This window comes from Homo sapiens, chromosome 2 (genome assembly GCF_000001405.40).
Source record: "Homo sapiens chromosome 2, GRCh38.p14 Primary Assembly".
NCBI classification, from domain to species: Eukaryota; Metazoa; Chordata; class Mammalia; order Primates; family Hominidae; genus Homo; species Homo sapiens.
In genome coordinates, this window is record NC_000002.12 from 160,633,334 (window position 1) to 160,652,478 (window position 19,145).

The window sequence follows — 19,145 nt, forward strand, 5'->3', positions numbered from 1 at the left end:
GTGCATCTGAATCTTATCTGGATTTGGCACTTATCACACGGAATTGCACTTATATTTAAACTCTCCACTGTGAGGACCCATAGTGGGTAGTTGGTAAATATTCCTTAAACGGTTAAATTCGGATCACTAAAGGTCCATTCTTTTTGTTTTTTTTGAGACGGAGTCTTGCTCTTTAGCCCAGGCTGGAGTGCAGTGGCGCCCCTCTCGGCACACTGCAAGCTCCGCCTCCCGGGTTCACGCCATTCTCCTGCCTCAGCCTCCCGAGTAGCTGGGACTACAGGTGCCCGCCACCTCGCCCGGCTAATTTTTTATGTTTTTAGTAGAGACGGTGTTTCACCGTGTTAGCCAGGATGGTCTCAATCTCCTGACCTTGTGATCTACCTGCCTCGGCCTCCCAAAGTGCTGGGATTACAGGCGTGAGCCACTGCGCCTGGCCAAATTCATTCTTATTCTTGGACTCTAACTTCCCTGCCTTATAACATGGTTCTTAAAACTGACCTGCCTTCACCCCTATTCCTGAGTTTCTCTTGTGCTAATTGCTGAGTAACACAATCATATCCAAAGGCTGTTGGTCTGCGCTGTCTTACTGCACCCTTCCCTTATGATTGTCGGGACCCTGGCTGAACTCTGCTGGTGTCAGCCCTGCCACTTGTCCACAGACCAACCATGAACCATGTGACCAACCATGTGACAACTCTCAAGTTTTGCCTGCTCTAGATAACTGATGGCTCAATTCCTAGTCCCTCCCTGCCAACCCACTCACTACCTGGTTTATAGCTGGAGTACCCTGCACCCCTTGATCTCATACTTGTTCAGCAGGCTGAACTTCTGCCACCAGCAGCTAGACCTCTTCTTGCCTTTGTTTCTCTCTCCAACCCTGCCTCTCTGGTATATTACTGATGGTGCCCTGCAGCATGTCAATATAGGCTTGATGGATTCCAATGGCTTTGGGAACAGCTTGGATTTTAAAGGAAGGCAGGCAATTGTGGGACCGGAGTCAAAAGCTAACTGAGGCTAACTGGGTGATCAAGAACATGGAGATGGCATAGAGGAAAGAAAGCACTAAGAGGAAATTTTTTAGGAAAGAAGAAAATAAATTCAGCTTTTAAGTGTGGATGATGAGTAGTTTGGGATATACCCAGGGGTGTTATTAAAATATTGAATGAGGTATAAAATGGCATCAACCAATCAACACAGATGCCAATGTTAGCTTATATAGGTACTTGTCAGTTCAGGATATATGATGTGGGCTGGAGGGAGCTGGCAGAACAAAGTACTGGAAGGTCACAGTGCTCTTTAGCCTGGGCCAGAGTCAATAAATGCCAGGTAAACTTCCCATCTGAACGTCAATCGTCTTTTTCCTTGCCCCTCCCTCCAATGGTCAGACTGTGTCTATATATGCCAGTGGGTGGTAGTCTTAACTTTTTTTCACTCCCTCATTAACCTGTAGATAGTTTATCTTAAGATTACCTCCAGACTCCTAGTTAAAGCACTCTGTTAAACTCATCCTTGTACCACTTTTTATCACTTTGTTAGAGCATGGCCAGCCCTCTTCCCTTTAGCACAGAAAGCCCTCTTTTATCCTCACAAGCAAGAGAGGGCTGACTGCTATGGATTTATGCAAATTCCGTTTTTAACCTGCCAGCCAAAGAATAGGAGACAGATTAATTCTTAAGATGTTTTTTAGCTTTTGAATTTTGCGTTCCGGGGAGGATGTTTTTGATTTTTTCTTTTTGGCACATTTGAGTTAGAAATAAAGATAGAAAGTTAATTGTTAGCTCTGGGCATTCAAAGAAGATGAGGATTTTTGCCCACCCTGCTTAGAAAAGACAAACTTATTGCCTAAGGATTTAACACTAGATTAGTAGCTTCTGATTCAAATTGAAAACATAATCAATGTCAAATAACCAAATTGGTTGCATTAGGGGTCACTCATTAGAGAGAGCAGAGAATTCGCACAGTTAATGGGAAAATCTCTTCTAGCAGGGCAAGAAAAAATGCTGGATTCTAGTTTCACTTCTGCTAGAGTCATACTGGGAACTTTGGAGTATGAAACTTTGATTTTCCCAGATTCCTTCACTTCTAGCATTGATCAAGGAGATATGCAAATTTGCTTCCTCTTTTACCCCCACAGGTGTGCAGGAGGTTTGTATAGTGGGAAAGCACTAGCTTGTGTAGCTATAAGCCTCTGTCCTTTTAGCTGGTTTAATGGGTATAAGAAGCATTGATAGTGGGGCTGTTTCTCATGCAAGGCAGTCTCTTGCTTATTCAGTTGAGACAGACTGCCACCTCAGAATCTCTGGGTCTTGACTCTGCCGTGAGATTTGCCAAGTGGTGACATAAACACCCACTCAAACGTCTGTGAAATGTCTGCCTCTGAGTGTTCCCTTTGATTCATCTCCCACCCCATCCCCTGACACTCATTTCCTGACTGACCTTGCTCCAATCCCAGGAGCAAGCTTTCTGGCCTTGATCCTGGGCTGGTAGAATCAGCCACCTCCTCTGAATGTCCAAAATGCTCCACTTGGCCAGCCTCTCACTCCTAGAGTGGCAGCAAGGAGTTGGAGGTGTATCACCTCTTAGTGATCTTCCTAAGAATGCACTTTACCTGGCATTAGACCCAGGGTTATCTGGAAGGAATGATATGTTGGCTAGTTACTGCATTTATATAGATAAGTTTAGTGTTTCTCAGTGTTTTGAGATATATTCTTTATGGTTAAAATTGACTTTCATGAGAAAAACCCTACCCATTCTCTGCCTTTAATGATGCCTAGGTTTTTCCCTACCTTGGAATGTAAATCTTTGCTTCACCTCATTGCCTTTTCAAGCCACTGCATTAACGCAGTCACCTTTCACTGCCAAATTCCTGAACAGGTGAAATGTCCTGGTTATGTTAATTTCTTCATCACCAATTCTCATATTAAGCCTTTGCAATCTGGTTTGCACTCCCACCAGACAACTGAAATGACTTTTTTTCCTGGCCTTTATGCCAGTCCCATGTCATTTTCTCAGTTATTACCCCATCAAATCTCTTGGAAGTACTTGATACTGTTGATTTTCTTTTTCTCCTTAAAAATTTGTCCAAGGCTCTGTCTCTATAATACTGAATTTTTGCTTCACCTCTTTAACTCTTCCTTCACTCTGTGGTGACACTGCTTTTCTCCTGTTGACCATCAACCTATGGCTTTTTCCTTTATTTTTCATTTATTTTTAATTTTTGTGGGTACATAATAGGTGTATATATTTATCGGTTACATGATATGTTTTGATACAGGAATGCAATGCATAATAATCATGCCATGGAGAATGGAGTGTCCATCCCCTTACGCATGTATTCTTTGTGTTACAAGCAATCCGATTACACTCTTATAGTTATTTTTAAATGTACAATTAAGTTATTTTTGACTACAGTCACCTAGTTGTGCTATCAAATACTAGGTCTTATTCATTCTTTCTAACTATTTTTTGTACCCATTAACCCTACTTGTCACAACTTCCCACTACCCTTCCCAGCCCCTGCTAACCATCCTTCTACTCTCTATCTCCATGAGTTCAATTATTTTGATTTTTGAGCTTTCACAAATAAGTAAGAACATGTGAAGTTTGTCTTTCTGACTTACTTAACTTAACATCATGACCTCCAGGTTCATCCATGTTGTTGCAAATGACAGGATCTCATTCTTTTTTATGGCTGAATAGTACTCCACGTATATATGTACCACATTTTCTTTATTCATTCATATGTTAATGGACGCTTAGGTTGCTTCCAAATCTTGGCTACTGTGAACAGTGCTGCAACAAACATGGGAGGGCAGATATCTCTTTAGTATACTGATTTCCTTTCTTTTGGGTATATATTCAACACTGGGATCACTGGATCATATGGTAGTTCTATTTTTAGTTTTTTGAAGAACCTCCAAACTGTTCTTCATAGTGGTTGTGCTAATTTATATTTCTACCAATAGTGTATGAGGGTTCCCTTTTTTCCGGTCCTTGCCAGCATCTGTTATTGCCTCTCTTTTGGATAAAAGCCATTTTAACTGGGGTGAGATATAGTTTTGATTTACATTTCTCTGATGATCAATGATGTTGAGCACCTTCTCATATGCCTGTTACCAAGGCTTTGTTCTTGACCCTGTGCCCATCCATTCTCAAAATTAAAGTCGTATCAAAATGGTGGTAACTCCCTATAAATGCTTTAAACTCTGACCTCTCACATAAAACCTTATTCCTTATAATGAGCTACCTACTAGTCATTTCCACTTGGATATCCAGTCTCCTTCCCAGGTTCTCTATTGCAGGAAACAAACTGACTGGGTTTAAATCTGGGATTTAATCAATCACTTATTGGTTGTGAGACTCTGGGGAAAGTGACTTTATATTGCCTCAGTTTCCTCAACTTGAGAATAGGATGGTGATGGTGGTAATAGAGTCTACCTAAGTGGATTTAATAAATAATATATGGGAAGTTGGTTTCGCACAACACCTGGGTGCCATATTAAGTATTAAAAAATATTATCATCTACAATTCTGCTTTCTTTTTAATTCTTACATCTAGTAATTCACCAAGTCATTTTTCTTTCTTTTTAGTAGTCGCTCTAGTTTCCATCTCTGCTTCATTTCTATTACCTTTTGAATTAATCTTTACAGGGCCTTAGTGCTACAACACCAGAACCTCTTTGCTGTGTGTTGTATCACTTATTAGGCTGCTTCACAGTTCAAAAAGTTTACCCACTATCAATGAATCACATTAGAATTCTTCAACTAGATATCTAAGGCTAAGCATCAATTGTTCTTGCTTTGGGGCTCACCTTGAACTCTTGCTACTTAATATATACTCCAGCTACTTAGTATGTAAACTTCTGCTCCATCAAGTCAATCAACTTTCCTGTCCTTGGAAATGCCATGCCATTTCCACTACCTGAGAATGCCATTTAAATGGCAATACTTGCCTAGGTAAGGGAGGTAGGGGAGAGGTGACATAAGCCCTGTGTATTTGCCATCCTTGATACTTCTTACAAGTAAATCTTAAATTCATTGATTTTGAAGAAAGAAAAGGAACCTTTTGAAAGTCTTGGAAACAGAAAACAAAGCTCAAGAGGGCATAAAATGTATAAAAACAAGAAGTACCCTGTTCATATTATGATTCACTACACTTGCTAATGGAAGATATTGTTTAATTAACTGACCACCTACAGTGTGCCAGATATTATACAGTGAATACAACTAGCCTGTTTTCCTCCAGATGCCATCCAACCACTCTTTTCAATATCAAGACAAAGGACTGCATAGCACACTATGACTTCTAGGTCCTCTTTAGTAGGAAAAAATTAGTTCCCAGATTATATACCATAAGATTCATTGCCAAACCCACTGAGCTAACATTTGGGTGGTAATTATTAAACACCATATGCTTATTGAGCTCGTAATATATTAAAAGCACTGTTTTAGTTCTGTGGGAAACCCCAAAGAAAAATAAAACATGTCACTGAACTCTATGTGTTCTTGACTTGGCAGTATTTTCAGTGCTGTATATATTTTTTCAAAAATTAATTTTTATGAAATACATCTACAAAGTTAAAAATGTGGAATACTCTTATAAGATAAAATAAAAATGGCATTTTCTTTTTTCATACCTCCCTGAGTTTCCTTACCCAAAGGCAACCACATTCAAGTCTTGTAGGTTTTTGTTGAGCTACTTAAGTCAATATTTTTAAATAATATTTCTTGACTTTTTGATTCTTGAAAAATGAAAATTTAGCCCTCTCTTATTACCCCCAAACTCTGCTACTTCCCACCTTCCTTTTTATAAGAAATTATATTGTAATTTTTGGTACAATTGTCAGAGTTTATATTACTGTACTTATATAAACATTGTTTGCCTTTACTAAATAGTATATTAAGATTACAATTCCTTATACAACTTTCGTTTTTTAAATAGTTAATAATTACCTCATTTTGTCATTTAGAAAATTGTCTACACTTCTAATTTTAAAAACTATAAAATCTTAATGCTGTTGAACATATTAAATAATCTATATAGTTTTGTCCCTGATCACACCTCTACCCTTGGGAACTCTCTCTTGTACTTTTTGATTCTTGTGTTCCAGTCTGGACTGGCAGCTCTCTAAGTTTTCTGAAGAGCTGCCATCTTTGAAAATCCCTTTATCTTTCTCTTGAGTTAGGTCCCATGTTTACATCTTTCTTGATTTACTCAATTGTTTTGGTTTGTTTATTTTTGTTTGTTTCTTTGAAGACATTCCTTATTACCTTCCTGGGAAGGGCTTCATGAGAATACATTTTTGAGATATCTTTTTTTTGTAGCTTCAAACTTGAGTGGTAGCTTGGCTGGGTATAAAACTTTAATTAGAAATCATTGTTTTTATAAAACTTTGAAAGCATTGCTCCATTGTCCTTCATCTTTCAATGTTGCTGATAATAATTCCAAAAATGTGTTGACAGCATTTCTCCATTGTTATTACTTCTTGCTTTTTCTTTAACTTTGTGACTTTTTGTTAACTTTGAAAAACATATTTAACTTTAGTTTTGGGGATGGTTGGAGATAATTGCATACATTCAAGATTGCATTTTTACCCAGGTGTCTTCAGTGTCATATTAATTTAGAAACACTGAACTATATCATTGTGTAGAGTTCATTTTTGAGTAAATCACAGAGAAACGCTCTGAGATGACCATGTACTGATTATTTACGGACTATTAATGTCACATGCTTCCTCTTCCTGCCTTGTATTTGAAATTAATTGTCCCTTTCTCAGTGCATTCTATGCCTTTTTCACGACTTTTTTTTTTTTTTGATACAGGATCTCACTTTGTCATTCAGGTTGGAGTGTGGTGGCATGATCATGGCTCATCACTGCAACCTCTGCTTCCCAAGCTCAAAAGATCCTCACACCTCAGCCTCCTGAGTAGCTGAGACTACAGGCACACACCATCACACCTGGCTAATTTTTGTATTTTTTGTAGCAATGGAGTCTTGCTTTGTTACCCAGGCTGGTCTTGAATTCCTGAACTCAAGTAATCTGCTGGCCTCGGTCTCCCAAAGTGCTGGGATTACAGGCATGCACCACCAAGCCCAGTCTCCTTTTTCATCACTTTCAGCATAAAGCTAATCATGCCATTTATGACATTTTAAGAATGTATCTGTATCTACTAATATTTTTAAGCATCTTTATTGAGATATAATTTAAATACCATATTTATCTAAATGTACAGTTACATTTTAAAAAATATGTCCACAGAAGTGGGCAACCATCGCCACAATCTGTTTTATTATCCTCAAACAAAACCATGTATATGTTAGCAGAAAGTTCCCATTTTCCCTTCCCTCTTGCTCCTACATCCATTAATCTGCTTTCAGTCACTATAGATTTGCCTATTCTGGAAATTTCACATAAATAAAAGCATATGATCTGTGGTCTTATGTGACTGGTTTCTTTTACTGTATATAGTGGTTTTCAAGGTCTATCTGTGTTGTAGTAGTTACCAGTAGTTCATTCTTTTTTATTGCTAAATTGGACTACATTTTAAGCTCTCTAAAGATAGGTCTCTTTTCATGTTTGAATGTTTAACACCTAGCATAATAACTAGGAGCTATATTGTCTTACATGTTTGTTTATTAAATAGATAGATGGCTAATTCTATTTTCAAATCTGCCCTCATGGTCCTACTTCCAAAACTTTTATTTGACCATGACCACATATTTTCTTAAAGTTTCATATTTCAAAAAAGTTTAATTAAGATTTGGACAGAAAAGGAAAGTATTCTAAATATAGATAATCCTTAATTCACAGTGGAATAACATACTAGCCCCAACTACCTTCTTTATACCTTATACCTTCATTAGTGATTTCCAGTCTCTAAATCAGTCATTTAATGAAGTTCACAGTCACTGACCAGGATAAGATTGGAGCAAATAACTGTTTTTTTTTAGCCTGTTTCTAGAATAAAGGAGATGCCCTTGGTCACCTAAACTAATATGATAATTTAGTTTTGTGGAACTCTACTCCGATTCAGCCCCGTCATGTTTTTCCCTGAGAGCACTAAGTATTTCTCCTTTCAATCCTTTGGTTACTCTGAAACCAAACAGAATTTGGTCAAGGCTGGGACATAGGCATTTTTTCCAGTGTTCTGCCAAAAATAGGGTCAAATGTTTGTGGGCTCCTCTAATTCTATCTCATTGTCCAGTCAACATTTGAAAGGCAGAGAACTGTGCTGAGACTCGTAAACTGTGCTTTTCTGGTTCCCCCCAAGCCTTGCACACTCAAAAGAAAATACCCACACACAATGGTTTGGGAAACCCTCCAACTTCAATATCTAAGAACGATTTAAGAGTTCAGGTGGAAGAAGGAGGGATAGAATACCTCAAACTTATCTTTCTGTGATTCTACTCTTTTTTTTTTTTGAGGCAGAGTTTCACTCTTGTTGTCCAGGCTGGAGTGCAGTGGCGTGATCTCGGCTCACCACACCCTCCACCTCCTGGGTTCAAGCAATTCTCCTTCCTCAGCCTCCCGAGTAGCTGGGATTACAGGCATGTGCCACCATGCCCAGCTAATTTTTGTATTTTTTTTTATTATTATACTTTAAGTTTTAGGATACATGTGCACAACGTGCAGGTTTAATTTTTGTATTTTTAATAGAGACGGGGTTTCTCCACGTTGATTAGGCTGGTCTCGAACTCAGGTGATCCGCCCACCTCGGCCTCCCAAAGTGCTGGGATTACAGGCGTGAGCCACCGTGCCCGGCCCTGTGATTCTAGTCTTACAAGTCCTAACATATAATACTAAAACATGCGGAAAGAAGTGGTAGGATGGATATGAATTGAACAGATACTAAAAATTAAACTCATATCTATTTGTGGGTTATAGCTTCTATCTTTGACTTATATATTTATGATTTCAGAAACAAGAATTTAATTTTTAAAACTAGTTTCATGGGCTCGAATTGTTTTTGAACAGCTGGACATCTTTTATAGTAGCACTAAAGATGATGTTTCTCCTTCACAGCCAGAGACTGGGGGTGTGTGTCTTTCAGATTGATGTTAACTCAAACATTTTTTTCTGAACACATACATACATATATGCACACACATGCATGCATGCACACAGTATTTTTATTTTTATTTATTATACTTTAAGTTCTAGGGTACATGTGCACAACATGCAGGTTTGTTACATAGGTATATATGTGCCATGTTGGTTTGCTGCACCCATCAAATCATCATTTACATTAGGTATTTCTCCTAATGCCATCCCTCCCCCTGCCCCCCACTCCACGACAGGCCTGGGGATGTGATGTACCCCACCCTGTGTCCAAGTGTTGTCATTGTTCAATTCCCACCTATGAGTGAGAACATGCAGTGTTTGGTTTTCTGTCCTTGTGATAGTTTGCTCAGAATGATGGTTCCCAGCTGCATCCATGTCCCTGCAAAAGGACATGAACTCATCCTTTTTTATGGCCATGTAGTAGTCCATGGTGTATATGTGTCACATTTTCTTAATCCAGTCTATCATTGATGGACATTTGGGTTGGTTCCAAGTCGTTGTTATTGTGAATAATGCCACAGTAAACATACGCGTGCATGTGTCTTTATAGTAGCATGATTTATAACCCTTTGGGTATATACCCAGTAATGGGATTGCTGGGTCAAATGGTATTTCTAGTTCTAGATCCTTGAGGAATCACCACTCTGTCTTCCATTATGGTTGAACTAGTTTGCACTCCCACCAACAGTGTAAAAGCGTTCCTATTTCTCCACATCCTCTCCAGCATCTGTTGTTTCCTGACTTTTTAATGGTCGCCATTCTAACTGGTGCACACAGTATTTTTTTTAAAGCTAAATCTTTTTTTCTGACTTCAAGAGCTGTGAAAAAGCTGTAAATGCCCCCTGTAGGGAAGCTCAAACCCAACAATGCAAACATCTGACTTTATCCTTATGTTTCTTCCTCAAAAAGATGAGAACACAGGGGAAAGTTTACCTATTTTTATCCATGAAACAAGGTCACTAAATATGTTATGTCAGTCAAATCAAAGCCCCATCTTTAAAAATGTTTCTGTGTAATCTATAACGTGCTTTTGCTAGAACTTAAGAGTGACATGAGTTCTGTAACTTATTTCCCTAGTTGGTGATAAGGGTCTGAATTTTTGGTTGACATTTCTGAAATACAGCTGCTGGAGCACTAGCATTCTGATTCAGAAATCTGACTACATTAGAAGAAAATTAACCTTTCAAAAAGCCACTGTTCTAAGGAATGATTTTAATCAAATGAGCTTTAAATGTTGTACCTGCATTTAGAATTTTTGGAGAGATTGCAACTCCCCAGTGATCTATCTACTTTTTGAAGACGAAGAAAAAAAACAAATTTATGATAAAAATAACTATGAAAGTTGTAAAGAGCATCATAAATGAAACTAGGTTGCTTTAACTGAAATGGTTTTTATAGTAGCACCAGATTCAGAAATGAAAGAAACTGACTTTATTTTAAATAGTTTGATACCTTCAAAGAAAAATAGCAGGTTGTATTAATATCTTGTCAATTGTATGTTTTCTGTTGAAATATCTCATGAAACACTTACTTATTGATTTATTTGCTATTTGACAGGTACTTCCACTGTGCTAAACATAAACATGGAGGGTGGGGATAGGGAGCTGTTGCAGGAAGTATCAGATCTATTGCACACAATAGATTGTTAAAATATTAAGTACCTCTGGCTGGGCGCACTGGCTCATGCCTGTAATCCCAGCAGTTTGGGAGGCCAAGGCGGGTTGATCACTTGAGGTCAGGTGTTCGAGACCAACCTGATTAACATGGTGAAACCCCATCTCTACTAAAAATACAAAAATTAGCCGGGTGTGGTAGCATGCTCCTGTAGTCCCAGCTACTCGAGAGGCTGAGGCAGGAGAATCGCTTGAACCTGGGAGGTGGAGGTTGCAGTGAGCCTAGATTGTGCCACTGCACTCCAGCCTGGGTGACAGAGCAAGACTCCATCTCAAAAAAAAAAAAAAAAAAAATTAAGCACCTCATAGACTATTAAATATTCAAATGAACATTATAGTGCACTTTCAGTCTACAAACTCAAGTATGCAAGATATATTTTTTTACTCCCCCTTTTACTTTCTCTCATTTAACTTAATATGATATCCAAGTCTTGATCTTACCAATTTGTGGGAAATTTCACCTCAGGAATTCTTGGTGATCCTTCTCATTCTGGGGTCGGGTTGAGATTTAAGGGCTTGTTATGGGTTGAATTATCTCCCCCATGAAGATATGTTGAAGTCCTCACCTGCAGTACCTTACAATGTGACCTTACTTGGAAATAGGGTCATTACAGACATAACTATTTAAGATAAGATTATAATGGAGTAGTGTGGGCCTTTAATCCATATGACTGGTGTCCTTATAAGAGGAGGAATGGGACGTAGAGAAGACAGCCTTACGACAATGGGGACAGAGATTGCTGTGATGCATCTACAAACCAAGGAATACCAAGAATTGCCAGCATCACCAGAAGCTAGGAAGAGGCAAGGAAGGATTCTCCTTGTAGGTTTCAGAGGGAACATGGCCCTGCCAACCTGCTGATCTCAGACTGCTGGCTTCCAGAACTGTGATACAATAATTGTCTGTCATAAGCCAGCCAGTTTGTGGTACTTTGTAATGGCAGCCATAGCAAACTAATTCAGAGCCTTATACCATGTAAGAAACAAGGGGTGGGGGTGGCAGTGTGTCTGAGCTGTCAACTTCTGGCCACATAGATAATGCTAAATAGGCCATTGTCCCTGTTCACATGCTTGGGACTCAGGTAGTTTTTAGAAGCAAGAACATCCAGAACCTCTGATCTTTTTGCCTGGAATATCAAGTGGCCAGCTTCAGGCTCTTACACATCCTGGAGTACTGGCTTATGCCTTCCTTACTTCCTTTCCTAGCCCAGGGATGATTTTTAATATTTGGGGAATGGGGGTAGCCCCTTTCTTCTGTCTGCTTTTGTAGATTACCCTTTTTTTTTTCCTTTTAAAATTTATGTCCCTTCTTAACTTTGGCTTTCTAGTCTTATACATTCTCCTGAGGGATTAGGCTTTTGAAAAACAGCAGGAGGAAGCCTTTCTCTGTTTTCTATCCCTGAGATAATGAAGCTACAATCAAGGGAGGAAAGCCTGATACAGACAGACTGGAGAAGGAGGAAGTGGAAACACAAGGAGGAAAAGCCTTGGAGCAATTATCAAACTAATATCCAGCCACAAAATTATTGTTTTTATTATTTTTTAGAGACAGGGTATCACCATGTTGCCCAGGCTGGTGTTGAACTCCTGAGCTCAAGCAATCGCCCACCTCAGCCTCCTGAAGTGCTGGGATTGCAGGTGTGAGCCCCCACACCTGGCCTGAGACACAAAATTATTAACAGGACTACATTAAATTTTCCAATGGCTTTTTAAACTATTGACCCAGCTTTCTTACGTCCTGACAATAAATTAAATTTATCAGATTGGGGATGATCAAGAGAGTGGTCTTTAATGCAGTTTCAGGGATGAGGAAACATTGATGGATCTCTCCAAGATTCTATTTTAGGAAAAATTTTTGCATGAATATTGACTGACTCAACCATATATATTACTGATGACCAGATGATGCATCTGTTGATTTCTAAGACAAGCAATGTAACCAGACCCAACAAATGAAGAGCCAATTATCTTGACCTTCTAAGTCAGTGATCCAAACCTAGCTCAGAATCATTAAGGCTCTTATAAAAAATAAAAACCCAGACTCACTCCTGGACATTGCCATCTGGAGGAACGCCAGGCAATCTGTAGTTTTTAAAAGTTCCTGGGTGACTTTGGCCAATCTGGAGAAGCACCAATCTAAAAGATGAAATTTATTTAATAATCTGAGCCATGATTGCTATATATGTATGGTTCAGGCGAATATGAATATTTAGTGCTGTTTGGATACTGTCTACTATCATCTGCATAACAGCTGCCTTAGCAGAATTAGTTCAATAGGTTATACTTCTGTACCTTTGTTTTTAAAATACATAATTGTATTTAAAAGAAATGTATTAGCCTCTTGTATATAAACCTTTACTACTGTCCCATCAGTCTGGTAGGAAGATTTCTTGCCATTTGATAAAAGGAAAAACTGACACTGTTTCTAAGAAGCACCAAAAGTTAGTCAATTATGAGGACATTCCCAGATATTTTTTAGCAGAATAAACTTAGATGTACCCTTCCATATTACCTCAGGTCTTTGAGTGTCTATTTAGTCGTCAATTGGCAGTATCTAGTCCTCTTAATTTAACACAATTAGCATTTCTGAAATTAATCACCAAAGCATTCTAAATTACGCTGTTTGCTAATAGGAAGGACTCATTTTCCATGGAGGGCTATTTTTAAAATACCTGCTTCGGTGCAAGAATTTCATCTGCTTCAGCAAGTATTGTGGGTGTGCCTATGAGTGTGTGTGTGCTGTAGTGAGCTATACCTATCACTGCCTTTTTGCATTCTTGGCCAAGATACCATGCCAATCAGGCACAATAATGCACAATACAATAACAAAACTCAGACAAGACTGGGTGAATTGCTTAACCGCATGTGTCTGGTACATTTAGAACAGACAGTTGATCTGGTAGATTCAGGAGACATAGAACAGTCTTTCCAGGTGCTAAAATTCACTGGATATTTCAGTTAAGACAATAATATACATATTAAGAAGCACCTAACAAAAAGACACTGTCTAGTTAATTGTATAACAAAAGAGAGTCTTTGTTAAGGGACTTAATGCAGAGCCCAGCCCAGAAAGCCCAAGAGCTGGTGGAAAAGGATTTCAGGAAAGAAAGGAGAGGAATGTTAACCAAGCTAACCAGCTGAAGCTTATCACTTCCCCAGAAGTTGCGGTCTTTAGACCTGTTTGTGTAAGAGGTAATAAAACCTGGCAGGCTGGTACCTGTTAAGATGCCAACATAGGTGGTTTGTTCATGCAACCTGAAAGTCGGCTCTGCGCTCCTCCATGTGGGGGCTGGAGTAGCTACCTGGCCCTTGTCCTGGCCCTGGGGCTAGAGTCAGGGAGGCAGGGAGCAAAGTAAAGTTTGAGAAAAAAAAATCAGCTTTGGCCCCAGTGCCACCCTCTTTTCTCTCAGTCTCTGCTTGCAGTGTTGCAACTGTGTTTGGGGGTGTATGCTAACTTTGGGAAGACGTTGGCAGAGTGCTTTGAATGGCTATGTCATTTTTCATACAGCTGTTTTCTACCCAAGTTTTCTGGTTAAGTAGCATTTTTGCTTTGGTTTGCTTCCCCATTTTGACATCAATCTGTGTCCAGTGTTCTTCAGTGGTTCTCAGAGACTTGGCATCTGGCTACACTGATGTGATTCAGGTGCAAACACAGACGGTTGGAGAGAAAGTGCCTCTACTGGAAAATGCCTCTAGAAAGCACTTCTGAGAAGCTTGCTCTTTGCCACAGATACTGCTTTGCTCCATTCTAGCTTGGTTTGGCATACCCATAAATGTCTCCATACGGTTTATTAGGTTTTTGGTAGTAAGCTTATTCTAAAATAATTGGCTAAATGAAATGAAAACAGTCACAACTTGTTCCATAAAGAGATGATCTAATTTCAGCAAATCAGTGCCACTCGTTCTGGATTTTATCTTATAGTTTGTAAACATGGAGCAGGTAAGAAGTATGAGGCAGGTTGACAGCATTGTCTAGGTTGTGCACTGAACATCCTGGGGTACACCATTTAAATAGGCTTCTTTGAGTACTGACAAAATGACTCACCTTGCTGATGGCAGCGGCAGGCCATCCGGAGGGGCCGCTGCTATCATGTGGGCTGCAGTGGGGAGGCGCAAGAGGCGGCAGCAGGAGCAGCTGTGAGAGCAGCAGTGGTGGCGGTGGGTCCCCTGTACCCCGCGTCCCCGAGGCAGCCGACTGCACCACCCCCACCCTCGCACGGCCGGGCAGCACCTGCTCTCGCGCCCGGCCTCCACCGCGGCCTCAACCTCACTTCCCACTGCATGCTGGGGGAGGTGAATACCTGGCCGACAGCGCAGCTGGTACACGCAGGGCCGGCCCTAGGAGCGTCAGGTTCATTTGTGCCGGGTTGGCCCGAGTGCTGCGCCACCTGCACCTCACCCACTGCCCTGGGAGCTGAGCCAGTCTCCCACCGGTGGGGGAGCAGCGCGGTCAGGCACAGAGGGGCGGGCAGAGAGAGGCCCCAAGGTGGAGCTGGGTCTGGGGCAGTGCCACATTCCACAGAGCTGGCAGGAGCAGGCAGGATCCCTACCCTCCCAGGCGTGGCTGCAGCTGTCCAAGTTGCTGCTGGGGACCCAGGCACAACTGTACTCTCCCGGGCCCGGGAAAGCTTTCCCTTCCCCCTACAGGCTCGGAGGTGTCTGCTCCCACTGCCTGGCTTCTCCCCTCTGTTAGCGCCTGCTCTGATCACAGAGAAAAGTTGAAGACAAGCCCAGGTGCTGTCACAACCTGGCTAGGTGTGCTCACGCTCAGGGCAATGCTAACAAGCCAGCCCCCTGCCACCTAGGCCCCCTCTGGACTTTGGATGCCAACAAGCTTGGGAGGGAGACTGAGGGGGCACTGAGGGCAGCTTGGCACTGGTCTGCAGGCGCCCCTTGGCACAAACAGCCTGGGCGCCATGAACAGTGGCAAGAAGCAGACAGACTACTGTGGGGAGGGGGACAGGTCCCCCGTGAAGCCAGGGAGGTCCTGAAGCCTGGGGGCCAGGCTTCTAGTCCTGCGGACAAGAGTGGGAACTTGTGGTGCCTTTTTCCAGGCCTTCCCATGGCCATGGACCAATCAGCGTACACTTCCTCCCCTCTGAGGCCCGTGAAAGCCCGGACTCAGCCAGACTAGAGGAGACAATGGGAAGACTTAGCTGCAGAGAGAAGCTGCCCACGCCAGAGTCTCCTCTCTGCTGAGAGCTGGGGAGACAATGGGACGACCCTCTCTGCTGAGAGCTAAAGAAATGATAGGACGACCAGCTGTAGAGAAGAGCTACCCTGTGCTGAGAGCTGAACACTCGTCGGGACACTGGCTACGGAGAGGAGCTGCCCATTGCGGGTCTCCTCTGAGCTCTCCTATTGCTCAAAAAAGCTCCTCTTCATCTTCCTTACCCTCCACTTGTCTGTGTACCTAATTCTTCCTGGAGGCAGGATAAGAACTCAGGACCCACTGAATGGCAGGGCTGAAGGAGCAGTAGCACAAACAGGGCTGAAACACGACCTTTGCCCACCATGTTGCGGGCAACAAGAAGGAGAGAAGGAGAAAAGAGCTGCAGCCCTTTGGGGACCCCAGACCTAGGAGATCCCTGAGCCAGGGCTGTGATACCCGCTTTAGGACTCTGTGGTTCTGGGCATCTCCAAGGTTCTGGGTGCCACACTATGTTCCCCAGTGTCAGCCGTGGAAGCTGCTTATGGTACGTCTCGTCAAGCCACAGCCTCGCAGGGAGCTAGCGCCCATGCTGGTGCCTAGAGGTGCCTGTCCTGCTGCAGCTGGTATGCCTGGCTGTGCACAGTGGCCGGATCCCACGCTCTCTCACACACCCCTCACTTCTCCACACCTGGCTCGCCCTTGGCAGGCATGGGATCCAAGCTGGTAGAGGGAGCCAAGCGCAGCCTGACAGGCCAAGTGGGCAAAATGAGCTCAGTGGGCCACAGCAAAACTCGGGCAGAGGCGCCGCTGGCCACAGAGGTTTCTGGCTGGTGAAGCAACACTGCAAGGGTCCTGTAACATTGCTATTCAAGAAATTTAATCTTACAGGAATGGTTTTACAAAATTAGATTCAAAGATGGGGAAAAATATCCTATGAAAATCAGAGAATCTGGTCACCATTAAACTATAGTTCTGGGAAATTATTTTTTTGCATTAGAGCTGAATGTTTCATTTGACTCTCAACTTTATACGCCAAATTGCATATTTCACATAAATAACAGAGTTACCTCTTCTCCAACCTCCATTCTCAGTCTCTAGGAATAACCACTTTCAACTCTTGAGAGTTATTCTTTAGGTATTTCCTCTATATTTCAAAATCCCATATTTAAACTGCTTTTACTTGATTTTCCTGTTTTAGATATTATCTTTGGACTTCCTGTATACCATGGAAGATGAGAATTGAGCTTTCTTAAATATCTGCCCTCTTCAGTTCCACCCTAACTTTCTACAGAACTATATAATTTCAAGGTAGATCACACTTCAGTGTTTGTATTGTTCTGAATGTGATTTTTAGTCACAGCTGAGTCATGTGGTATAGTATTATTATATTTCCTTTCTTGTTGACCTTCTTGTTTTCCCTGTTAATAATTGTTTGTTCTTTTGTTAGCTTGGTTATCTATACACACTCACTAATTCATTCCTAACTCTCCATGTTCATGTTCCAACGCAGTCTGATTATTCTCAAGGCCTGCTACCTATTCCAGGTTGGAAATCATTTTTGCTCCACATTTTGAAGTAATTGCCCCATTGTTTTCTAGCTTCCACTGCTGGAGTTGAATAATCCAATGGCATTCTGATTCTGGATCTTTTGTCTGTGACACTTCTCCTTTTTCATTTCATGAGTCCCTTTGAGGACCCATGTGACTAGGGGCGGATTTCTTCCTATTCTCTGCATTGGTTTTGTTCCCTGCAAGTTCCTTTTTTTTTTTTTTTTTTTTTTTTTTTTTTGCTGTTTTTAAATTTTGGTTTCCTACTCCTCTGTTAGAGACTTTCCTCACCTGTCTAGTGATCTCTGGCTTTCCATTCACATTTAAACAAGCTATGAGAAGCTTTCTATATGGAGGAAGGGTTTTGTCAACTGCTAGACTCCATCCTGGGGCTGGAGTTGGTAAACTGAGGCCCATAGGCCAAACCAGTGGGTCAAAAATGACCCACTGCTCATTTTTATATGGCTCTAAGTGTGGTTTTTATATTGTTAAATGTTGAAGAAAATAATGAGAATAATATTTTCTGACACATGAAACTTCTTTATATTTTTATTCCAGTTAATTTTCTATAAAGAACAGGGTGAATGAATCCTAGTAGCTGGAATTCCGGTGGGAAGAGAACTATCTGGCATTCCTCACCCCCAAGAACCTGTATTCCTCATTAAAATGTTTCTGACCTTTTCATAGTTCTGATCCCAACTAGTAGACAGCTTTGCTATTGATAGAACCCGGAAAATTCAGTCATCATCCCCCTCAAGCCTGCTTCCATCTGACTGCTTGACAGACAATGGTGGTGATAGAGCTGCTCTGGAAAAAGTAACACTATGCCCACACTGTAATTGTGCTGTATCAAGCTTGCAAGTCCCAGATGGGAGTCGTGGGATGTTCTGCTTAACAGTTTAGTATGTGACTAATAGAGGATGTGCTCTTTGGGGCTGGATATTTCAGCAGAACCAGACAAATATCCTGTATGAGGAGTTTAGGGCCATAATTGTAAGAGTTTCCAGGGAAGTGGCTAAGGTAGGAGGGCTTTGGACATTGAATTACAAGTTTCTTACAACCTACACAGAATCTTTTTAAAAGACTTTTTTCTTTTTCTTGATAGGGCAGTCTGGACCCCTGGCTGATGTAGTGAACTTAGTTCCGCCTTCCTGACTAGTGTCAGGAATCATCTCTCAGAGATGTGGTCTTGCTACACAGAGACTGTCAGAGGTTATCTTTCTCTCACTACAACCAGTCATTTCCAAAGATAAGGGCACACTCAGGAGCATTTTCCTTGGGCTCTGAGAAGAGGCCTTGAACCCTGGCTCTGCAGGGCTGCTGTGATAGCACCAGAGGGGCAGGATGGGAGGCAGAACGACACAGATTCACAGGAACAAGTGTGTGCTCAGCAACTGAGGTACTTGTATTTTCAATAGGAACATAATCTTTTAAAAATGTTGATCAGTTCACATCACTATATTATGCAAAATATTCTCGTGGTTTCTCATCACATTTGTCACTAACTCCAAGTTCCTGGCCGTGGTGGCCTAGAAGGCCCTGCATGCTCTGGCCTCTTCCATCTCTCTGATCTCCTTTCCTGCTGTTTTATCCTTTGCTCATTCTGCGCCACCCACATCCGCCTCCTGTCTGCTCCTTGAACGTGCCAAGCTAGTTCCTTTCTCAGAGTCTGCATTGGCTCCTCCCTCTGCCCAGTGTGGTTTCCTCACAT

At 41.5% G+C, this 19,145-nt stretch overlaps 1 long non-coding RNA gene across 1 annotated transcript in view; it reads right to left on the reverse strand.

Moving 5' to 3' along the window:
• LOC105373718 (uncharacterized) overlaps positions 1-15,189 on the reverse strand; it is a 93,832-nt gene extending 78,643 nt beyond the window's left edge. Inside the window, exons 1-2 of the long non-coding RNA XR_923526.3 lie at positions 15,037-15,189; positions 14,781-14,870 (exon numbers count right to left, since the gene is read on the reverse strand). This is a non-coding gene — a long non-coding RNA (uncharacterized LOC105373718). The remainder of the gene's footprint in view (positions 1-14,780; positions 14,871-15,036) is intronic.
• Positions 15,190-19,145: the final 3,956 nt, after the last annotated feature.